The sequence below is a fragment of the Homo sapiens genome, chromosome 2 (assembly GCF_000001405.40).
Source record: "Homo sapiens chromosome 2, GRCh38.p14 Primary Assembly".
Classification (NCBI taxonomy): Eukaryota; Metazoa; Chordata; class Mammalia; order Primates; family Hominidae; genus Homo; species Homo sapiens.
This window is the reverse complement of record NC_000002.12, coordinates 191,540,747-191,559,480: the sequence shown is the minus strand read 5'-3', so window position 1 is coordinate 191,559,480 and position 18,734 is coordinate 191,540,747. Positions and strand designations below refer to the sequence as shown.

The window sequence follows — 18,734 nt, the reverse complement described above, 5'->3', positions numbered from 1 at the left end:
TTGAACCCAGGAGGCAGAGGTTGCAGTGAGCCAAGATCGTGCCACTGCACTCCAGCCTGGGTGACACAGCAAGACTCTGTCTCAAAAAAAAAAAAAAAAAAAAAAGGGAATGAAAGAATGAACTAAATATATTTAAGGAGGACTAAATAAAGAATCCAAAGACTAAACCTAATGCTAGATTTTAAGGAAATTTATATTTGTTGAATGCCTACTGTGTATCAGTGATAGACAAGGCACTTAAAATCTCATTTAATCCTCACAGCCTCCATATCATACCACAAGTACAGCAGTTTCTGTATATATCTGGGCTTACCTCTCTGAAGACAAGCTGTTTCTAGATATTGAGCTATTTTTACAAGAAATTAGAAGCACAAAGAATGACTTTAAGAAATAAGGATCTCAGTAGTTTCTTCAGTCAACCTCTTCTTTGTATTATGTCTTATCAATGGCCAACCAAACATCTCTATCATTATCTATCTATCTATCTATCCAACTATCACTATCTATCTATCTTTTTTTTTTTTTTTTTTTGAGACGGAGTCTTGCTCTGTTTCCCAGGCTGGAGTGCAGTGGCTCAATCTCAGCTCACTGCAACTTCTGCCTCCCAGGTTCAAGCAATTCTCCTGCCTCAACCTCCCAAGTAGCTGAGACTACAGGTGCCCGCTACCACACCCAACTAATTTTTGTATTTTTGGTAGACACAGCTTTCGCCATATTAGCCACGCTGGTCTCAAACACCTGACCTCAATTGATCCTCCCGTCTCAGCCTCCCAGAGTGCTGGGATTACAGGTGTGAGCCACCACACCCAGCCTATTATGCAATTTTAAATACCTTATTTCAATTATCTACTAGTTCAGTGCATTTCAAGTATTGGTGGGATGTTTAATATGCCTATGTGAAGTCAGATTTTCTTTTCTAGAGCATTGGTGTACTGTTACTGTTTTTTGTATCTTTTGAATGTTCTATAAGGATTTCCCTTTCTCATCTCTAATGTTCCGCTCTCTTTACTGGTCACACACACACTTGGGTAGGTTCATATTTTCACTCATGCCCCGTTCCCATACATCTCTTAGAGCCCATCAACAGCATTTGTTGTCATTGTCGATGCATCCTGTCCACTGTCACCCCGCAAAGCTTTGAAAAGGAACCCTATCTCTTCCGGAGGCTCCTTCCCCATCAACCCAAAATGACCTCATTTTTTTAGACATGAATATGCCTCAAGGGTTCCTTGAGGGTGAGCTATGTACGCCTAATTCATGACTGAATGATAATGATGCTAGCAGACATCCCAGAGGCTTGTCAGGGGCCTGGCAATGTGTTTAGCTCCCTGCAGAGGCTAACTCACCTAACCTTTACAATTCCCTCACAGCCTAAGTGCTAGTGTTATCTTCATTTCACAGAGGGGACATCTGAGGCTCAGGGGACACCAGAGTTGGAGGGAGTTTAAGCAGAATGGCCCAGTGTGACTCAGCTAGGTAGTAGCAGAGGCAGGATGTGAACCCATGCAGTCAGGCCCTCGGAGCCACGTTCTGACCACGGTACAGTCCTCTCCGTATGTGTGAAGACAGACAAAACCCTGTGGGCTACTTCACCCAGCAGGCCAAGAAATAATTACATATCCACCCAGGTATTATTGAGAGGAAAATTCAGCAAATATTTTGATCTGAGCATTTTTCAATTCTAACCATTTAAAAGTAACTTTCATTCTATCAGCAGGAGAATCACAGATTTCTATGCTGTAAACAGCAAAGGATCGGGTCATACATGTAAAACTTTAACCATTTTCTTTATTTTATAGAGGAGAAAAGGAGTTTTCTTACGCTCATAGGCATTTTCTCAGTGAGTTAAGGAGTCTTTCCTTAGGCACACAGATGGGCCTTACAATAGCTTTAAGTCTACTGGAAGACTTAATTTTCTGAATCATGCTCAAAGACTAGTGCTTTACTCATTCTAGGCCCCACACAGTTTCTCATAAAACATTTCGCTTCTAAGTGAGTTGTGAAAATGGGACTCACAAAATGATGACAGAAATACTGCTTTAAAAACCTTTCCAGAAGGTTTCACAGAAATACAATAGAATATATGAGAAGAAAATGTCTAGTTGTTATTACGAAGGTGTAAAGGAAATGAGAGAGGGTTACTTTTTACTGGAAACAGCCAGAAAGATTCACTTAAGACCATAATTTACTCATATAATCTGTTTTATTTAAAAATAATATTGAAATAGTACTAAAATAATCTTAATAGAAATTATGCAAGACACAACTAACATTAATTCTAGTGATTTGTACTAGATAAAAATAAGGAATTACTATGAGCTATTGAGAGAAATTAAAGGAACATTTTCATCATGAAATTTCAATCAAAGGAGAATAACAAGAAGACATCTTAGTCATGCCAACCTTTGGAAAATATACTCCCTGACCACTATTTCTGAAATTATTAAGGATGTTCAACAAAACATATAGACAAATCCAATTAAGGAGGAAACTTACAAAGATATAACAAAGAGGGAAGCCAGCCAAGCAGTGCAATGCAAACAAAGCCCACCGTGACAGATGGAGAGCAAAGCCATAAGGAGTCCACACTGCACCATTCAATAAATAGTATGGTCAAGAGGGCATATCCTAGTGATATGACAAATGAGCCTATTTTCCTCTAACAATTGAAATAAGGTAAGGCCAATACAACCTTTAAAGAAACAAAAATGTTTGCAAGAAAGCCATGTACACACACAAATAAACCAAACATTGCCTAATTTTGAGCATGTTAGAGAACAGGATGCATTTGACCTTGATGATTGTCCTTATAAGGACATGAAGTTAGTCACAGAGGATGACATGTCTTTCCTGCTGACCAACCACACCGCTCAGTTCTTCACCAAATACTTTGTTTAATTATACCACCAAAGCTCTTATTTACAGTTATAGGACTGAACGTAAATTACTAACCTTGACAACATAAAAATAGAGTTTACCCAGCCCAAATTGGGAAATTATGGAGAAAAGAGGTGCAGGAAAGTGTGAGAAGATAATTTCTTCATCTCGTCTAATGAGAAGGAAGAGATACTATTAAAAAGTAGAGACTTCAGTGTATTATTTAATTATGAAGGCAACAAGTATAGAGCAACGTCCCACTAATAAATATTTCCCCTGACACTTTACATGACTTAAAATTTGTCATTTACTTCAGGTTCATATTATCTTAGAAAAATAAGTGTTCTGGCTTGGCACAGTGGCTCACGCCTGTAATCCCACTGCTTGAGGGGCTGAGGCAGGAGGATCGCTTGAGCCTAAGAGTTCAAGACCAGCCAGGACAACACAGAGAAACCCTGACTCTACAAGGAATACAAAAATAAGTTGGGCGTGATGGTGCATGCCTGTTGTCCCAGCTACTTGGGAGGCTGAAGTAGGAAGATCACTTGAACCCAGAAGCTCAAAGCTGCAGTGAGCCACGATCACGCCACTGCACTCTGGCCTGGACCACAGAGTGAGACCCTGTCTCAAAAGAAAAAAGAGAAATAAGCATTCTGTCCCCTCTTCAGAGCATGATTCTCTCTCTGATTAAGACTCCTCTAATTTCAAGAAGCTCCTCCTGATTATTCAAGATGGTTCAAATTTAGAAGGCACCCTTGATCCTCTTACTTTTTTGTGACTAGCACAAGTACTGGGCCATAAAACAGAGGGTCCTCAAAGAATAACCATATTCCCTCACCATCAAAATCCTGCCATTTGGCTGATCAATCCCACCCCACACACACCAAAGCATGCTGTGGTTCAACTCCAAGACTTTTGACTAGTGTCTGATACTTTTAAATGCCTCTGTTACCTACTTCTCTGAGACATCAGACAAGTCTGAACCTATCCCAACTTGAGTTTCCCCCACGGTAAATTAGAGGCATTGGTATCCATCCCACAAGGTTGTACTGATAATCAAATGAGATAACATACAAAGTGCCCAGCACATTGTAGATGTTACAACTTCCTTTCTTCCCTTCAATAGATGAAATTTATTGTGTGAACAACGAAGTGTTCTTAATATGTTTGTTATTTTTTCTCCGTTTAAACATCTGTAGTTGTCAGAACTTTTGAGAAAGGTTCTTTCATGTCTAAACGTCCACGATTCTATGGCCAGTACGCTAATTAAAGGAGAACCATCCTAGTTCAGCCTCTCCCAGGTTAGACCAAAAAGTGGATTGCTGCTGCCACCTGGTGGCTACAAGATAATTTGAGGCAGCATTTCGCGGAAGCTTGTGAGTGCTAAACACCCAACCCCCACACACAATTAGAGGGAGCCTGGGAAAGTGAGGACGCCCCCACTTGTTTTCTTTTCTTTTCTTTTTTTTTTTTTTTTTTGAGACAGGGTCTCGCTTTGTCACCCAGGCTGGAGTACAGGGGCACAATCTCAGCTCACGGCAACCTCTGCCTCCCAGATTCAAGCGATTCTCGTGCCTCAGCCACCCCAGTAGTTGGGATTACAGGCACGCGCCACCACGCCTGGCTAATTTTTGTATTTTTAGTAGAGACAGGGATCTCAGTATGTTGTCCAGGCTGGTCTCGAACTCCCAGGCTCAAGCGATCCTCTTGCCTCAGCCTCTCAAAGTGCTGGGATTACAGGCACGAGCCACTGCGCCGGGACGACCCCAATTATTTTCTAAACGAGTGTCGGTGACAGGTGAAGAACACACACTGGTTTGTTTCCATCTTTGGGAATGTAAATCAAGGTCAAGACTGACCTTGAACAAAAATGTAAAGTTGGCAAATGCCGACTTCAAGGCTCTGAGATTCTTTCCTGTGCCTCTCCTCCACACGTTCTTTGGCTTCCCTAGTCCTCAGGACATTTATTCTACTTGTTCTTCCTCAAATCAAAAGCTGTTCAGAAAATTTTTTTTGATAAAATGATTCACTCTAGGTATAAGTAACTAAGATAATTAATGGAGAGGCCATTAGGCTGAGCCAGCTCCAGGGCCCTGGATTCCTACAGAAGCAAACCGAAACCCAAGTATCAATGGTCATATTCTAGGAAAATGCAACTTCAGCTTTAAAACTCAGGAGCCACCAATTAACCCTTTTAAAGCCTTCTCTTGCCCTCTTGGTGGAGCCTCGAGCCACCTGAAGTCTGATGCTACCTGATTTATGAATCGTTTGCTCAAATAAACTCCTTAATATTCTAATGTGCCTCAGTTTATCTTTTAACATTAATGAGGCTTAATATGACTTCTCTCTGTAATGTTTGCATTTTTAATTACTCTATTTTTGAATAGAAGAATTATGTGTGTATGACACATATTATAAAAGGTCTTCCTAGCAGCTACCCAGAATATTCATACAACTATTCCTTTTTATGGTTTAAAAAAGGCACATGCTATACCAGCTGTTCTGCACCTTGTTCTTTTTACCCAATGTCTTGTTTTTGTTTGTTTTGGTTGGTTTTGTTTGGTTGATTCCTTTTTCTTCTTGATCAGGTTCATCATATTCAAACCTAATGTATTTTGCATGTTATGCCATTGTATTTGCACTTTCACAGAAATATAAACTCCGTCTTCCTCAGGTAAAAAGAATAAATCTTTCTTTGTGGAAGTTGAGGAATCTTCAAGCAGAGATAGAGGAAGTTTCAGGTGGTGGATTTCAAGCTTTAAAGAGGATGTGGATCACCTGCAGAGCTCGCAAAACGAAGTGAAGTCCTATTTCTGATTCAATAGGTCTGGGGTGGAGCTGGAAACCAAATATTTAATAAGGAAAGTGAGTACCCCTAATGCAAGCTCTGTGATCATACTTTGAGAATCACTATATAAAGGCAGAAACTATCAGCCCCGGTTGCATATGAGAGTCACCTGGGGGACTAAAAAAATTCTGATTCTGACTAGCTTGGTCTGGGTCCCCAAGTGAATCTAATATGTCACCAAGATTGAGAATGCAGCAATTCTTAAACTTGGCTGCTTACTGGAATCATTTAGGCATCATTAAAAAATACTGATACCTGGGTCACACCTGCCCCCAACAAAGATAATGCTGTAACTGGTGTGGAGTATGGCTGGAGTACAAGGAGCTTCCAGAGCTCCCCGTGATTCAAACAAGCAACTGAGGCTGAGAGACTGTGGTTTAAGCAGATAGGCTTACTGAGAATTCCAGAGTCAAGTCAGGTGAAGCTGACAGATCCAGGAATGTGTTTGTCTTCGCGCCACTCTATTACAGACACAGGAAAGCAGGAGAAAGACAACGTGTGGTCCTCTGTTCTTTGTTAATAAACAGTTTGTGCTGATCAAATAATTTGTCGAATCAGGACTTATTTTTTGTCATTAGTATGGAAGGAAGAGAATGACAGCTAACTGTCCATTCTTGATCAATAAGATTGATCAAATGAGTTAAATCTGAAGAGAGGACCAAGCCACATTTCCACATTAAAAAAAAAAAAAAGATTCTGGCCAGTTGCTCACATGAAGGATAGTTCCTGTGTTCTGGCTCAGTGCATTCTCTATCTTTTTTGTTTTTTGTTTTGTTTTAGACAAGAGTCTCACTCTGTTGCTCAGGCTGGAGTGCAGTGGCACGACCTCAGCTCACTGCAACCTCCGCCTCCCGGATTCAAGCGATTCTCCTGCCTCAGCCTCCCAGGTAGCTAGGACTACAGGCATGTGCCACCACTCCTGGCTAATTTTTTTTTTTTTTAAGTAGACATGAAATTTCACTATGTTAGCCAGGCTGGTCTTGAACTCCTGACCTCAGGTGATCCGCCTGCCTCAGCCTCCCAAAGTGCTGGGATTACAGGCGTGAGCCACCGCGCCTGGCACAGTGAGTTATCCAGCTGAGAACTCTAGCTTCTGCTATCTTTTCTGTGGCATTCCAAATGAAAGTATTACTTTATCGGCTTCCACTGGTCAGAAGGCATTTTCTCATTCCTCCGGGCATTGATAATTTGGCAACATTGTGATAGGGGAACTATAAACCAGCTTTCCTGAAACTCTTCTGTAACGAGGTCCCCATCAAAAGAAGTAGTTTCCATATTTAGCTCCATTAGCCGCTTTCTACAAAGACCAGCTTAGAGCTGTAGAGCCGGTTTTCAGTTTCCAACTTCCAAAATACGTTGACAGTTTTTTGTTTTTGCTTTTGTTTTTTTTCAACCATCCTTTCTAATGACCTCCCTGGATAGCAAACAGATTACTTTCTTGTTTTTAACTTGATCAGGCATAAGAACAAGAACTGTTAACATTTCACCGGATGTACGCTTTGGCAACATACCAGCTTAGGTTGTTTAATTTACAGCAATATGGCTGCAGGCAAGTCAGACTAATGAGGGAGACTAAAGATTTAGAGTTAAATATTAAATGTATCTTAGTCTTTATTTCTTGCTGTTCCAACCAATAATAATAAAAAAAAAATGCCTCTGGGATATTCGAGCATGAAGACATCTAGCTTGTGGTGCCTTCTGTAGAGCCAGAAAGACATTTAATTCCGTATTACACAGATGGCAGCCACAATATTTGTTTCCTTTTCATTTTATTTTGGTAGTATAACCTATGCTGGCTGGGGACACAATATACTAGCAAACAGCTCACATCTAAAGTAGCCTGGCCTTGGTTTTCCTTTGCAGTTTTATAGCTCGTCTTTCTCTCTCAAGAATTTACTATAAACTGGGGACTGGGTTAGAGAACCAGCAGTGATGCAGGAGAGGGTACTCTGATGAAAGCTTTTTCTGATTCTTGGATTTTGCTGATCAAATGTAAGTTCATAGTTGACTAGTATGTCTCAGTGTTATAATCAAAGAAGTTGGGCGGGGTGTTCCCTTCCTTCTTACCTATTGTCACTAAAGCACCACAAACTAAATCCTGCCCTCTCTGGTGAAAGAACTCTTCCTAAATGTTCCCAATAGATTGAAATTTTGTTTTTGTCTCCAACCTTATCCGGTTTAACTCCCCACCTGCTCTGGGTCCTGTTGACTCCTAAGTTCCCCTGGAGACCTGGCTTTTTTAACCTCCTCAGTTCCGATGGATAAATATTGGAGGACTTTCCCAACAAGGCACAATAGCGGGGCTCAAGCCTAATATTTTACCACCATTTCTCACACCCTCCCATGTTCTTGCTGTACCAAACTCTTTCCATTACCTGAAACACTGTTCAATGTTATTCAGAAAACATTTACTGAGCATCTGTTACACCTCAAACTCTGAGCTGTTGCCAGGAATGCAATGGGAATGCAACATCTTCGTCAACTGTTCTTACTCCCGCTTCTATGGTGTGGTTTTCTCTTTCTTTTTCTTCATAATTTTTGCATGACTATAATTATTTTCATGTATTTCACCTGACTGGAATCTCATGGTAATAAAGTAAAACATAGGTAACCAAATCTGTCAAATCTACTGAGGCTGGGCGCGGTGCCTTGCGCCTGTACTCCCAGCACCTTGGGAGGTCGAGGCAGGTGGATCACTTGAGGTCAGGAGTTCGAGACCCACCTGGCCAACATGGTGAAATCCCATCTCTACTAAAAATACAAAAATTAGCCAGGCATGGTAGCATGCGCCTGTAGTCCCAGCTACTTAGGAGGCTGAGGCAGGAGAATTGCTTGAACCCGGGAAGCGGAGGTTGCAGTGAGCCGAGATCGTACCACTGCACTCCAGCCTGGGCGACAGAGTGAGACTCCATCTCAAAAACTAAAAAAATTAAAAATAAATTTAAAAAATCTACTGAATATGTTGACCACCATGTGATCCAAGGCCAAGGTGTCCTTGCACATGCTGTTCTCATTTCTTCAAGTACCTTTGCCAGGAGTTAACGTTCCTGGTTCTCTCCCTTCTACCCACTTCCAAATACCTAGAGAATTCCTGCATGGAGGAGAAGAGCCAGGCAGTGGGTTGCTACTGAGAAGGAGGGCTATGCTAGCTGACCTTGACTGAGCACTTACTACCCATCAGGATCCGTGTCAAGTGCACTAAGTGCTTCGTTTCATTGAAGGCTCTCAGCAACCCTCTGAGGCAGGTTTTCATTGTATCGTTATTTTACAGATGAGGAAGCTGAGGCTTACAGAGGTAAAGTGACTTTCCAGGCAGTTTAATCCCAACACTGACACTAATGCCAACCCTTCACTACCTCCCACTCATAACAACAGGTGACAGATGAGCACAGCTGTATAAAACGTGCATAAGAAAAGAGACTGGTAACACCACAAAGGGTAGAATAGTGGTTGTGTGAGGTGGTAGGGGTATTGAGCACACACTCCTCCTGCAGCTGAAATGTCAGCGGCTTGTCTGTCAAGATTGTCTGGTTTCCCCACCCCACAGGAAAGGTTGCCTACTGTGTTCCAGTGGCACTTTTCATGCAGCTCTACTATAGCACTTCTGAGGCACTTGTTTTTTTTTTTTTTTTTTTTTTGAGACAGAGTTTCACTCTTGTCACCCAGGCTGGAGTACAATGGCGCAATCTTGGCTCACCACAACCTCTGCCTCCCAGGTTCAAGCAATTCTCCTGCCTCAGCCTCCTCAGTAGCTGGGATTGCAGGCGTGTGCCACCAAGCCTGTCTAATTTTGTACTTTTAGTAGAAACGGGGTTTTTCCATGTTGATCAGGCTGGTCTCGAACTCCTGACCTCAGGTGATCCACCTGCCCTAGCCTCCCAAAGTGCTGGGATTACAGATGTGAACCACCGCGCCCGGCTCTGATGCACTTTTTACATTCACCGTGTTTCACCTGATAGATATGTCTCCCCAAGAGAGGAGGCTTTCTTCTGTATCTTTTGACCTCCTATGCTCTGCAGAGTGCCTGGTGCACAAAAAGTGCCAAATGGGTATTTGATGAATGACTGAAGGAAAGGTCTCTATTTTCAGCTCTGTGGGCCATGTAATATCTGTAGCAACTACTCAACTCTGCCTCTGTCATGCAAAAGTAATCACAGACAATATGTAAATGAATAAGCATGGGTGTGTTCCAGTAATATTTATGTACAATAAAATCTGAATTTCATATAATTTTCACATTATGAAATATTCTTTTTTCATCTTTTTCAACTATTTAAAAATGCAGAAACCATTCTAGTAGTAGACTGTACAAAAACAAGAGGTGTGTCAAGACCATCCTGGCTAACATGGTGAAACCCCGTCTCTACTAAAAAACACAAAAAATTAGCCAGGCGTAGTGGCGGGCGCCTATAATCCCAGCTACATGGGAGGCTGAGGCAGGAGAATCGCTTGAACCCAGGAGGCAGAGGTTGCAGTGAGCCGAGATCATGCCACTGCACTCCAGCCTGGGTGACAGAGTGAGACTCTGTCTCAAAAAAAAAAAAAAACAAGAGGTGTGGCCAGGTGTGGTGGTTCACGCCTGTAGTCCCAGCACTTTGGGAGGGCGAAGTAGGGAAGGATAGCTTGGGCCCAGGAGTTCAAGACCAGCCTGGGCAGTATAGTGAGACCCTGTTTCTTTCTTTCTTTTTTTTTTTTTTTGAGATGGAGTTTCAATCTTGTTGCCCAGGCTGGAGTGCAGTGGCGCGATCTCGGCTCACCACAAACTCTGCCTCCTGGATTCAAGCAATTCTCCCGCCTCAGCCTCCCGAGTAGCTGGCATTACAGGCATGTGCCACCACACCCAGCTAATTTTGTATTTTTAGTAGAGACAGGGTTTCTCCATGTTGGTCAGGCTGGTCTTGAACTCCTGACCTCAGGTGACCTGCCTGCCTCGGCCTCCCAAAGTGCTGGAATTACAGGCATGAGCCCTGTGTCTGGTGTGAGACCATGTTTCTACCAAAAAATAAAAACAAAAAATTAGCCAGATGGGATGGCACATGCCTGTGGTCCCAGCTAATCAGGAGGCTGAGACGGGAGGCTGAGACAGGAGGCTGAGGCTGAAGGATTGCTTGAGCCTGGGAAGTAGAGGCTGCAGTGAGCTGTGATTGTGCCACTGTGCTCCAGTCTGGACAACAGAGGAAGACCCCATCTCAATAAATAAAAATAAAAAGTAAATCAGGAGGTGGCAGATTTGGTCCGAGGACCATAGTTTACCAACCCTTGCTCCAAGCTCTTCAAATCACCCATCACAGTTCTCGGTCTCAGCTGTTCCACTGTCTGATCTGTAAAAACAGTTGTAAAGATGAGATTATGGATGCAGCCCCCCACCTAGACGATGTAGCATGCCAGTGCGCTAGGACGGTTTTGCAGGAATCTGAGTGGAAGTGACTGTTAGAGATACCCCACTCCACAGCATAAAGCAATGTGGTCTCACAAAAATACATTTCAAAGTCACGTCTTTCTATTCATTGACAAAGTTACCAATTAATCTCTCTCTCTCTCTCTCTTTTTTTTTTTTTTTTTTTTTGAGACGGAGTCTCACTCTGTCACCCAGGCTGGAGTGCAGTGGCACAATCTCGGCTCACTGCAACCTCTGCCTCCCGGGTTCAAGCAATTCTTCTGTCTCAGCCTCCCGAGTATCTGGGACTACAGGTGCACACCACCACACCTGGCTAATTTTTGTATTTTTTTAGTAGAGATGGGGTTTCACCATGTTGGTCAGGCTGGTCTCGAACTCCTGACCTCAGGTGATCCACCTGCCTCGCCCTCCCAAAGTGCTGGGATTACAGGCATGAGTCACCGCACCTGGTCCCAATTAATCTCTGAGAGACAGAATTTGAAAGGTCTATGAATAGGTTTTCTATTTTAAATTGGGGGCAGTGGGCAGACCATGAGTGGTTATCTGGGAAATATGCGAACGTGTGCATTAGGGAAGGCTGCAAGATCCATCAAAGAGCCTGCATCCAAATGCAGGGTGTGTGCCAGATAGCTTTTGATCTGTTACAAATAAAGGAATTTAAAATTCCCAAACAAAGCAAAACTCCAGAGGATAATGTCAAGGTAATGGGATTATAGCACTGAAAACAGGTCAATGGAAAGACACCTGCCTTTTAGATCACACAAATAGCTCAGAAGTGCTGGGCTGCTGCTTCTCTTAACCTAGAAGTGTTTCTGGAGCTGGCTGGAAGGCCAATCTCTACATAAAACTTGTCTTTTCTTTTGAAAACAGGCATTAGCTGCTTCTTGAGTATCTCTCGGAGAGGTCGCTAGGGGAATTTGCCAGACTTCAAAGCAGGGGAAAGGAAAAGCTTCGTAATAACACACTCTGGCGTCTGTATAAATATGTCAACTACCCCATGGATCCCATGTTTATCTCATACTCTCTCTAGGGTCCTGAAAAGCTGAAGAAAGTGAATGCTGACATTTTAGGAGAGTTTAGTAGATGGTGCACCAGCAACAGCTGACTGCCACTGGCTATACTGTGGGACCACTCTTTGATTTCTTCATGCTTCAGTGTGCTCATTTGTAACATGGTATGGTTTGGTCAGACTATGAGGCTCTTTCCTGCTCTATGATTCTGGGATTCTAACATATCCTCCTTTGCTTCTGTAACCTGAATTTCACCAGATTGCAACAAAATGTGGGTATGAAAAGAACACAATATCATTTTTGGAGTATTCTGGCAAAAAGTGTTTAACCTGGATCTAATCATGAGGAAATAATCAGGCAAATTCCAATTGGGAGAGTCTATAACCAACTGGCCTGCACTCTTCAAAAATGCCACCGTATAAAAGACAAAATTTAAAACATTTTTCAAAAGGTGGTGGGGGGAGCTATTCCGGATTAAAAGTGACTAAAAAGACATGATAACATACAAGTATTGGGGTATTCGGAGTGATTTGACTAGGGACTATATATAGTAAATAACATCTATGATATATAACTATATTTTACATATAATAGTGATATTGTGGTTATATAAGAGAATGTCCTTATTCTTAGGAAATACAAGCTGAAATGTTTAGCAGTAGTGTCATGGTGTCTACTTTCAAATAGTTCAGAGTAAAAAAGTGTGTTTGTGTGTGTGTGTGTGTGTGTGTGTGTAGTGAAAAAGATAAAGCCCATGTGGCAAAATGCTGGCAACTGGTGAATGCAGAAGAAGGTGTAAAATCTTTCATTGTGCTAGTCTATCCACTTTTCTGTGGGTTTGAAATTTTCTAAAATTAAATGTTGGGAAAAAAAAAAAACACATGTGAGTCTTCCTATCAGGGCAAGAATAGAAGAAAACTGGGGGGAAGAGCATTGTTTTCTTTGGGAGAGGTTGAGATCTTGGACACATACTCAAAGAAAAATGAGGGCCGGTGCAGTGGCTCACACCTGTAATCCCAGCACTTTGGGAGGCCGAGGCAGGTGGATTATGAGGTCAGGAGATCGAGACCAACCTGGCTAACACGGTGAAACCCCGTCTCTACTAAAAATCCAAAAAAATTAGCAGGGTGTGGTGGTGGGCACCTGTAGTCCTAGTTACTGGGGAGGCTGAGGCAGGAGAATGGTGTGAACCCGGGAGGCGGAGCTTGCAGTGAGTTGAGATAGCACCACTGCACTTCAGTCTGGGTGACAGGGCGAGACTCCATCTCAAAACAAAAACAAAAAAAAGAAAAATGAGATCTTGGAGGCTGGGCTAGACAGATAAGGAGGTCAGAGGAATATTTTCACAGGTCCCACCATCTTAGAGATGAGACTAGGAAAGAGGGTTTCTTGGGGCCCGAAGAGAGCTGAAAAGGAAGCCACGTGTCTGGAGCTGACCAGAGTAACCCCCATGGGGCAAAGGACTCAGGACCCTGGAAAACACTAATGAGACCCTCTTGAAGCTGCAAGTGACATCCATAATTGGAGTGATTGGGACACACCTTGAAAATTGGAGTAATTCCAGTGTAAAGAGGATCTGGACAGATTTGATCAGGAAAGGCCGAAAGGTCATTGTGGCATATTTGAAGCATCACTGGGTTCATTCTGAAATAACTGAGTTCCTGAGAGAGAGGATTTGAGTGACCCAAAGAACGTGGGTGGCTAAGATGCTAAGGAAAGACAAAAAGCCAGTGATGACAGAAGTAAGTAGAGTCCAAGCCTGGGTGGACAGTGGCCCAATGGGAACCCCTGCCAGATGGGATCCTCCTCAGCCTAGTGAGTCACTAGACAAGACTGACTGGACAATGCATGCTTTTGACAGATAATAGTCCTTGACTTTATATATGTCACTGCAATGAGCTTCACAGGACAAATCTTAGAGAAGTATGTCAGGAAAAAAGTCTGAATCTAAAAACATAGAGCAATAGTTCTTACACATTAGTGAGCATTGGAATCACAAGGAGGGATTTTAAAACTCAGCTGGGCCCCACCTAAGAGTTTCTGATTCACTACATGTGGGATGTGACCCAAGCATGTGCATATTTAACAAATTTCCAAATGATAAAGATGCTGCTGTTCGGGACCACATTTTGGGAACTGGCATAGGGGAAAGAAAATGAAAGGATGGTCATCTAGCAAACTGTACAAGATAGAGAAAGCACTTGGCTGAATCTTCAGTGAAGATGAAGCAACAATGGAGAATGTTCCCTTGCTGTAGAAAGAGTAAGAACCATTACTTCAGAGGTAAAATTGAAAAGTGAGGGAAGATAGCACCATGAGGGGTAGTCAGCTGAGGTCTTCTTCCTCAGCAGGCCCAAAGGACTGGGCTTCAGCTAAGGAAGCTGCTGAAGGCAATTCTCCAATAGAAAACTACAAACTACCTTTAGGAGACAAGACTCACAGGCCTGAGCTATGACTACCTCCCTCAGCCAATGAGACCAACCCCCTCAGGCAGAATGGCCAATTTCCTAAGAATTTCCATGACACCTGTACCAGGTAACTACCAGCTAAATAGCAAGTGAGTAAACTAATATCTCACTGGCTTATACTACCATTTTCATTATGCTAAAAGCTACTATTTATTAGCTGTTTACCAAGTGCTGGGCCCTATGCCAAGTGCTTTACAAGCATTATACTTAATGCTCATCATCTCCTCATAAACTACATCATTACATTTATTCTACACATAAGAAATCTGACACTTGGACAGGTTGAGTATCTTGCCCAAAGTCACACAGCTAGTAAGAATTCAGGTAATAAGTGCCTCTTCATTTTTCCTCCTGGAGAGAGGAAGTTCCATCCAGGAAACAAGAGGGGTAGAGGCATAAACAAAAAGAACAAAGAAGAAATGAGGAGCGGAAAAGAACAACACCGCCCACTGCAAAAGACGAGCTTCAGCATTCATGAAAACCTAGTTTCTTCTGAAGCCAGCGTATGAGAAAATCTTACTTCCACAAACTGACCTATTTTCATCTTGGTCTTCTAAGTAGAAATCCCTCATAATGTAAAGCAAATAAAGCAGAATTCCTGACTTTCATATATCTCTTAAAGCCTAACCAACAAGGCTGAGTCTTCAGTTCAAGTCAGTTTTCACTGCACAATGCCAATAGCTGAACCCAAACTCTTCAGCTGCTGGTGACCCTGTGAAGGCAAGAACGTGGCGGGTGGGTGGATGCGACTGAGGGGCTGAGTGGCGTGTTTTGGTTAGGCAAAGCAGGCAGGCATCACAAATACGAAAAAAAGCCTGCAGCATGAGCTTAAAGAGTTGTGATCTGTTTGTAAAGCTGGTAAAAACTGCTCCACAGGAGCCAAAGCCAAATCCAATACTGTAAAGGAACATTTACTGGAGAGCAACTTTCCTCCAGGGTACATATTTGCATGAGGTGTAAAATTGCTAAATATCTGAGGAATAAAAGAGCTGGGAATCTTATGGCTTAGCTAAGAGTCACACTAATGCCCCAAGCCAAGGTTAAAGCAACAATGACTTCAGATCTCTACAATGACCTCGAGTATTGCCACTGTGAGAACTTATTTATTTTTGCCTTCTCTAGATTATTTCATCATTTTGAGCAAAAGCAAAAACAGATTTATGTGTCAATTTTGGAAGGGAAATTTACTTCTTTCAGGCCCTTTTTTGATGTTAAAAAAAAAAGTAGAAATGCATCCCAACTTTTTACAATTTGGCAATAATACTTTATCTTGAATGCTTACCTTCTAAATTACTGGTTTCTTCTCAGGACACTGTAGGTCCTGGGCAAAATAACGAGAAATACTGAATAGCTGTAAAAGCGTAAATGTCAATCAAGCTAGCAAAGCACAAAGGGTGAGCACCTAGGAAGAGGGGCCTTTAATTTACAAGGTACTTTCTAAAAAAATAAATGTCATGAAAAGATATTTTATCTATCACACTGAGTTTCCTAATCAGAGAGATAATTTGATCTCAAGAGAAGTAGGAGGAAACTGCTGGCCTCTAGAGTTTCATGAAAAGCAATAAGTAATCAACTCAAAATGAAGAAAAGCAAGTTTTCTATTTTATGTCTTATTTCGGTACCCTTTGCTATATGTAGTTTAATGATTAAAATCTATGTAGGCCAGGTGTGGTGGCTCACACCTGTAATCCTACCTAGCTCTTTGGGAGGCTGAGGTGGGTGGACTGCTTGAGCCCAGGAGTTTGAGACCAACCTGGGCCACATGATGAAACCCTGTCTCTGCAAAAAATACAAAAAAATAGCCAAGTGTGGTCGCAGGTGCCTGTAGTCTTGGCTACTCAGGAGACTAAGGTGGGAGGATCACCTGAGCCCAGGAGGTCGAGGCTGCAGTGAGCCATGATCTCACCACTGCACCCCACATGGGGCAACAGAGTGAGACCCTGTCTCAAAAAAAAAAAAAAAGAGAGACCTATGTAATGAGTCTATAGTTGTAATTACAGTAATTTCTCATTAGTCTATCAGTTGATGACATGCCATGGAAGAGCTGAAGCAAGTGGTAGACTGCAAGTTGCTGTAAAAATAGTATAAAGCCTTCGATGGAAGCAGGCAGAAGGAGAGTGTCATGGCTGGAAAAAGGACCTGAAATCATATTATTATGGAGCACAAACCATTAGAAAGAGATTGTTATTTTTTAAATATTTTGCTTGCAGTTGCAGGACAAAAATATGCAGACTGAGCTACATATGGTTCTTAAAGACATTAGGTAACTATTGCTTTCATTTTATTTTATTTTTGGGATGGAGTCTCGCTCTGTTGCCCAGGCTGGAGGGCAGTGGCAACATCTCAGCTCACTGCAACCTTCGCCTCCCAGGTTCAAGCAATTCTCCTGCTGTTAGCCTAATGAGCAGCTGGGATTACAGGTGCGCACCACCACACCTGGCTAACTTCTGTATTTTTAGTAGAGACGGGGTTTCACCACGTTGCCCAGGCTGGTCTCAAACTCCTGACTTCAGGTGATCCACCCGCCTCAGCCTCCCAAAGTGTTGGGATTACAGGAGTGAGCCACTGTGCCTGACCAGGTAACTATTGCTTTCAAAGTTTCTTCCAAGTATTTTAGTAAGATATGACTTAAAGATCACTGCTGGAATTTCCAGAGAGGGGAAAAAATTTCCACCCCCCAGGTCAGGTCCTGCCCCCTGCACTTACTGCTGCAAAGGAGTAGTGGATCTCACGAATGAACTTGGGAAAAAGACCCAGTCATGCTCAGCACTGCACTTTTCAGCCTTTGGAAGCAGCCCTCATTTTGCTGCCTCCTACTTGGATATTTTGTGGGCCTCCAGCCTGCTTGATGGGGATGAGAAAGAGTAATTCAAGTAAGAAAATATTGGGGAACCCATTGAGCAACAGATCTACACTTTGTTTACTGGTCAGCATTCTCTGTACAGGAGGAAGCCTGGAGGGATAAGAAAAAGAGTAGGTTTTAGGCCTGAGGAATATGAGAGGTCGTGATTTGAACCTGACCTTCCAGGACTTTCTAAAATTACATGTGTCTGGCCAGGCGTGGTGGCTCATGCCTGTAATCCCAGCACTTTGGGAGGCTGAGGCTGGCAGATCACCTGAGGTCAGGAGTTCAAGACCAGCCTGGCCAACATGGCGAAACCCTGTCTCTATTAAAGATACAAAAATTAGCTAGGCGTGGTGGCATGCACCTGTAGTCCCAGCTACTCAGGAGGCTGAGGCAGGAGAATCACTTGAACCCAGGAGGCAGAGGTTGCAGTGAGCTGAGATCACACCACTGCACTCCAGCCTGGGCAACAGAGCGAGACTCCATCTCAAATAAAATAAAATAAAATAAGATAAAATAAAATTACATGTGTCAAGGTGGGGAGTTAGAGCATATTTTATCTACCAAGTTGTAGACCTGATACTGATTTTGTAACATGTAGTCATATGGTACGTGGGCCGCCCGTTGTTCTCTTGCCCTGGACCCTGCACGTTAGGAGCAAGGCTGCTGCTCTGGTCCCTCACCAGTGGGCACTTGGAGATCATTTCCTTGTATCAGACCCCTCTTTAGTCACTGCAGCATATTCTCTGTGTCTGCAGGTGCTCACAGTTCAGATTTTATCTACAGTCTTCATCAACTGTATTCGCTTTCCTCTAATGCCCGTCATAAATGCCCTGTGCTTATCACTTATTGTGGATTTTTATATGTCCAGGGGTTTAGAGCTTAGCACTTCGAGTTTTTTGTTTTTTGTTTTGTTTTTTTTTTTTTGGTTTTGGGGTTTTTTTGTTTTTGTTTTTGTTTTGTTTTGTTTTGTTTTTGGCGTGGGGGTTCTTCCTATATTCTGCTCAGTCTTCTTAGTCAGAAGTGCAATTTCCAAATTGAGGATAAGTCTCCAAAGTCACAGAGACATGTTCTGTGTAGCACTATCAGCTGCCCCTGTAGGCTGAGGCAGGCTGTGCTTTATAGTGAAACCACTTCACACCTATTCCCTGGCCCTCAGCCACCCACAGTGCTGTGGGATGGCAGCGGAGACCCTAGCTACCCATGCCTGGAGATCAGGGAAGGAGGAAGAATTTAAGCTGAGAATTGCAGGAATTTCTCTATATGTTGGGGAGTCCTCAGATTATAT

General features: G+C 42.7%; 1 long non-coding RNA gene across 1 annotated transcript in view, besides 1 other annotated feature; it reads right to left on the bottom strand.

Annotated features, from left to right (window-relative positions):
* Window positions 1-10,980: 10,980 nt before the first annotated feature.
* LOC107985833 (uncharacterized) overlaps window positions 10,981-18,734 on the bottom strand; it is a 31,909-nt gene continuing 24,155 nt past the window's right edge. The window contains exon 3 of the long non-coding RNA XR_001739229.1: window positions 10,981-11,046. This is a non-coding gene — a long non-coding RNA (uncharacterized LOC107985833). The remainder of the gene's footprint in view (window positions 11,047-18,734) is intronic.
* Window positions 17,759-17,921: a silencer, noted in NCBI's record as "fragment chr2:192406286-192406448 (GRCh37/hg19 assembly coordinates)". NCBI's record gives its function as "represses an EF-1alpha promoter that drives an FKBP-Casp9 reporter gene in an ReSE screen in K562 erythroleukemia cells {active_cell/tissue: K562}" and the evidence as "EXISTENCE:reporter gene assay evidence [ECO:0000049][PMID:32094911]".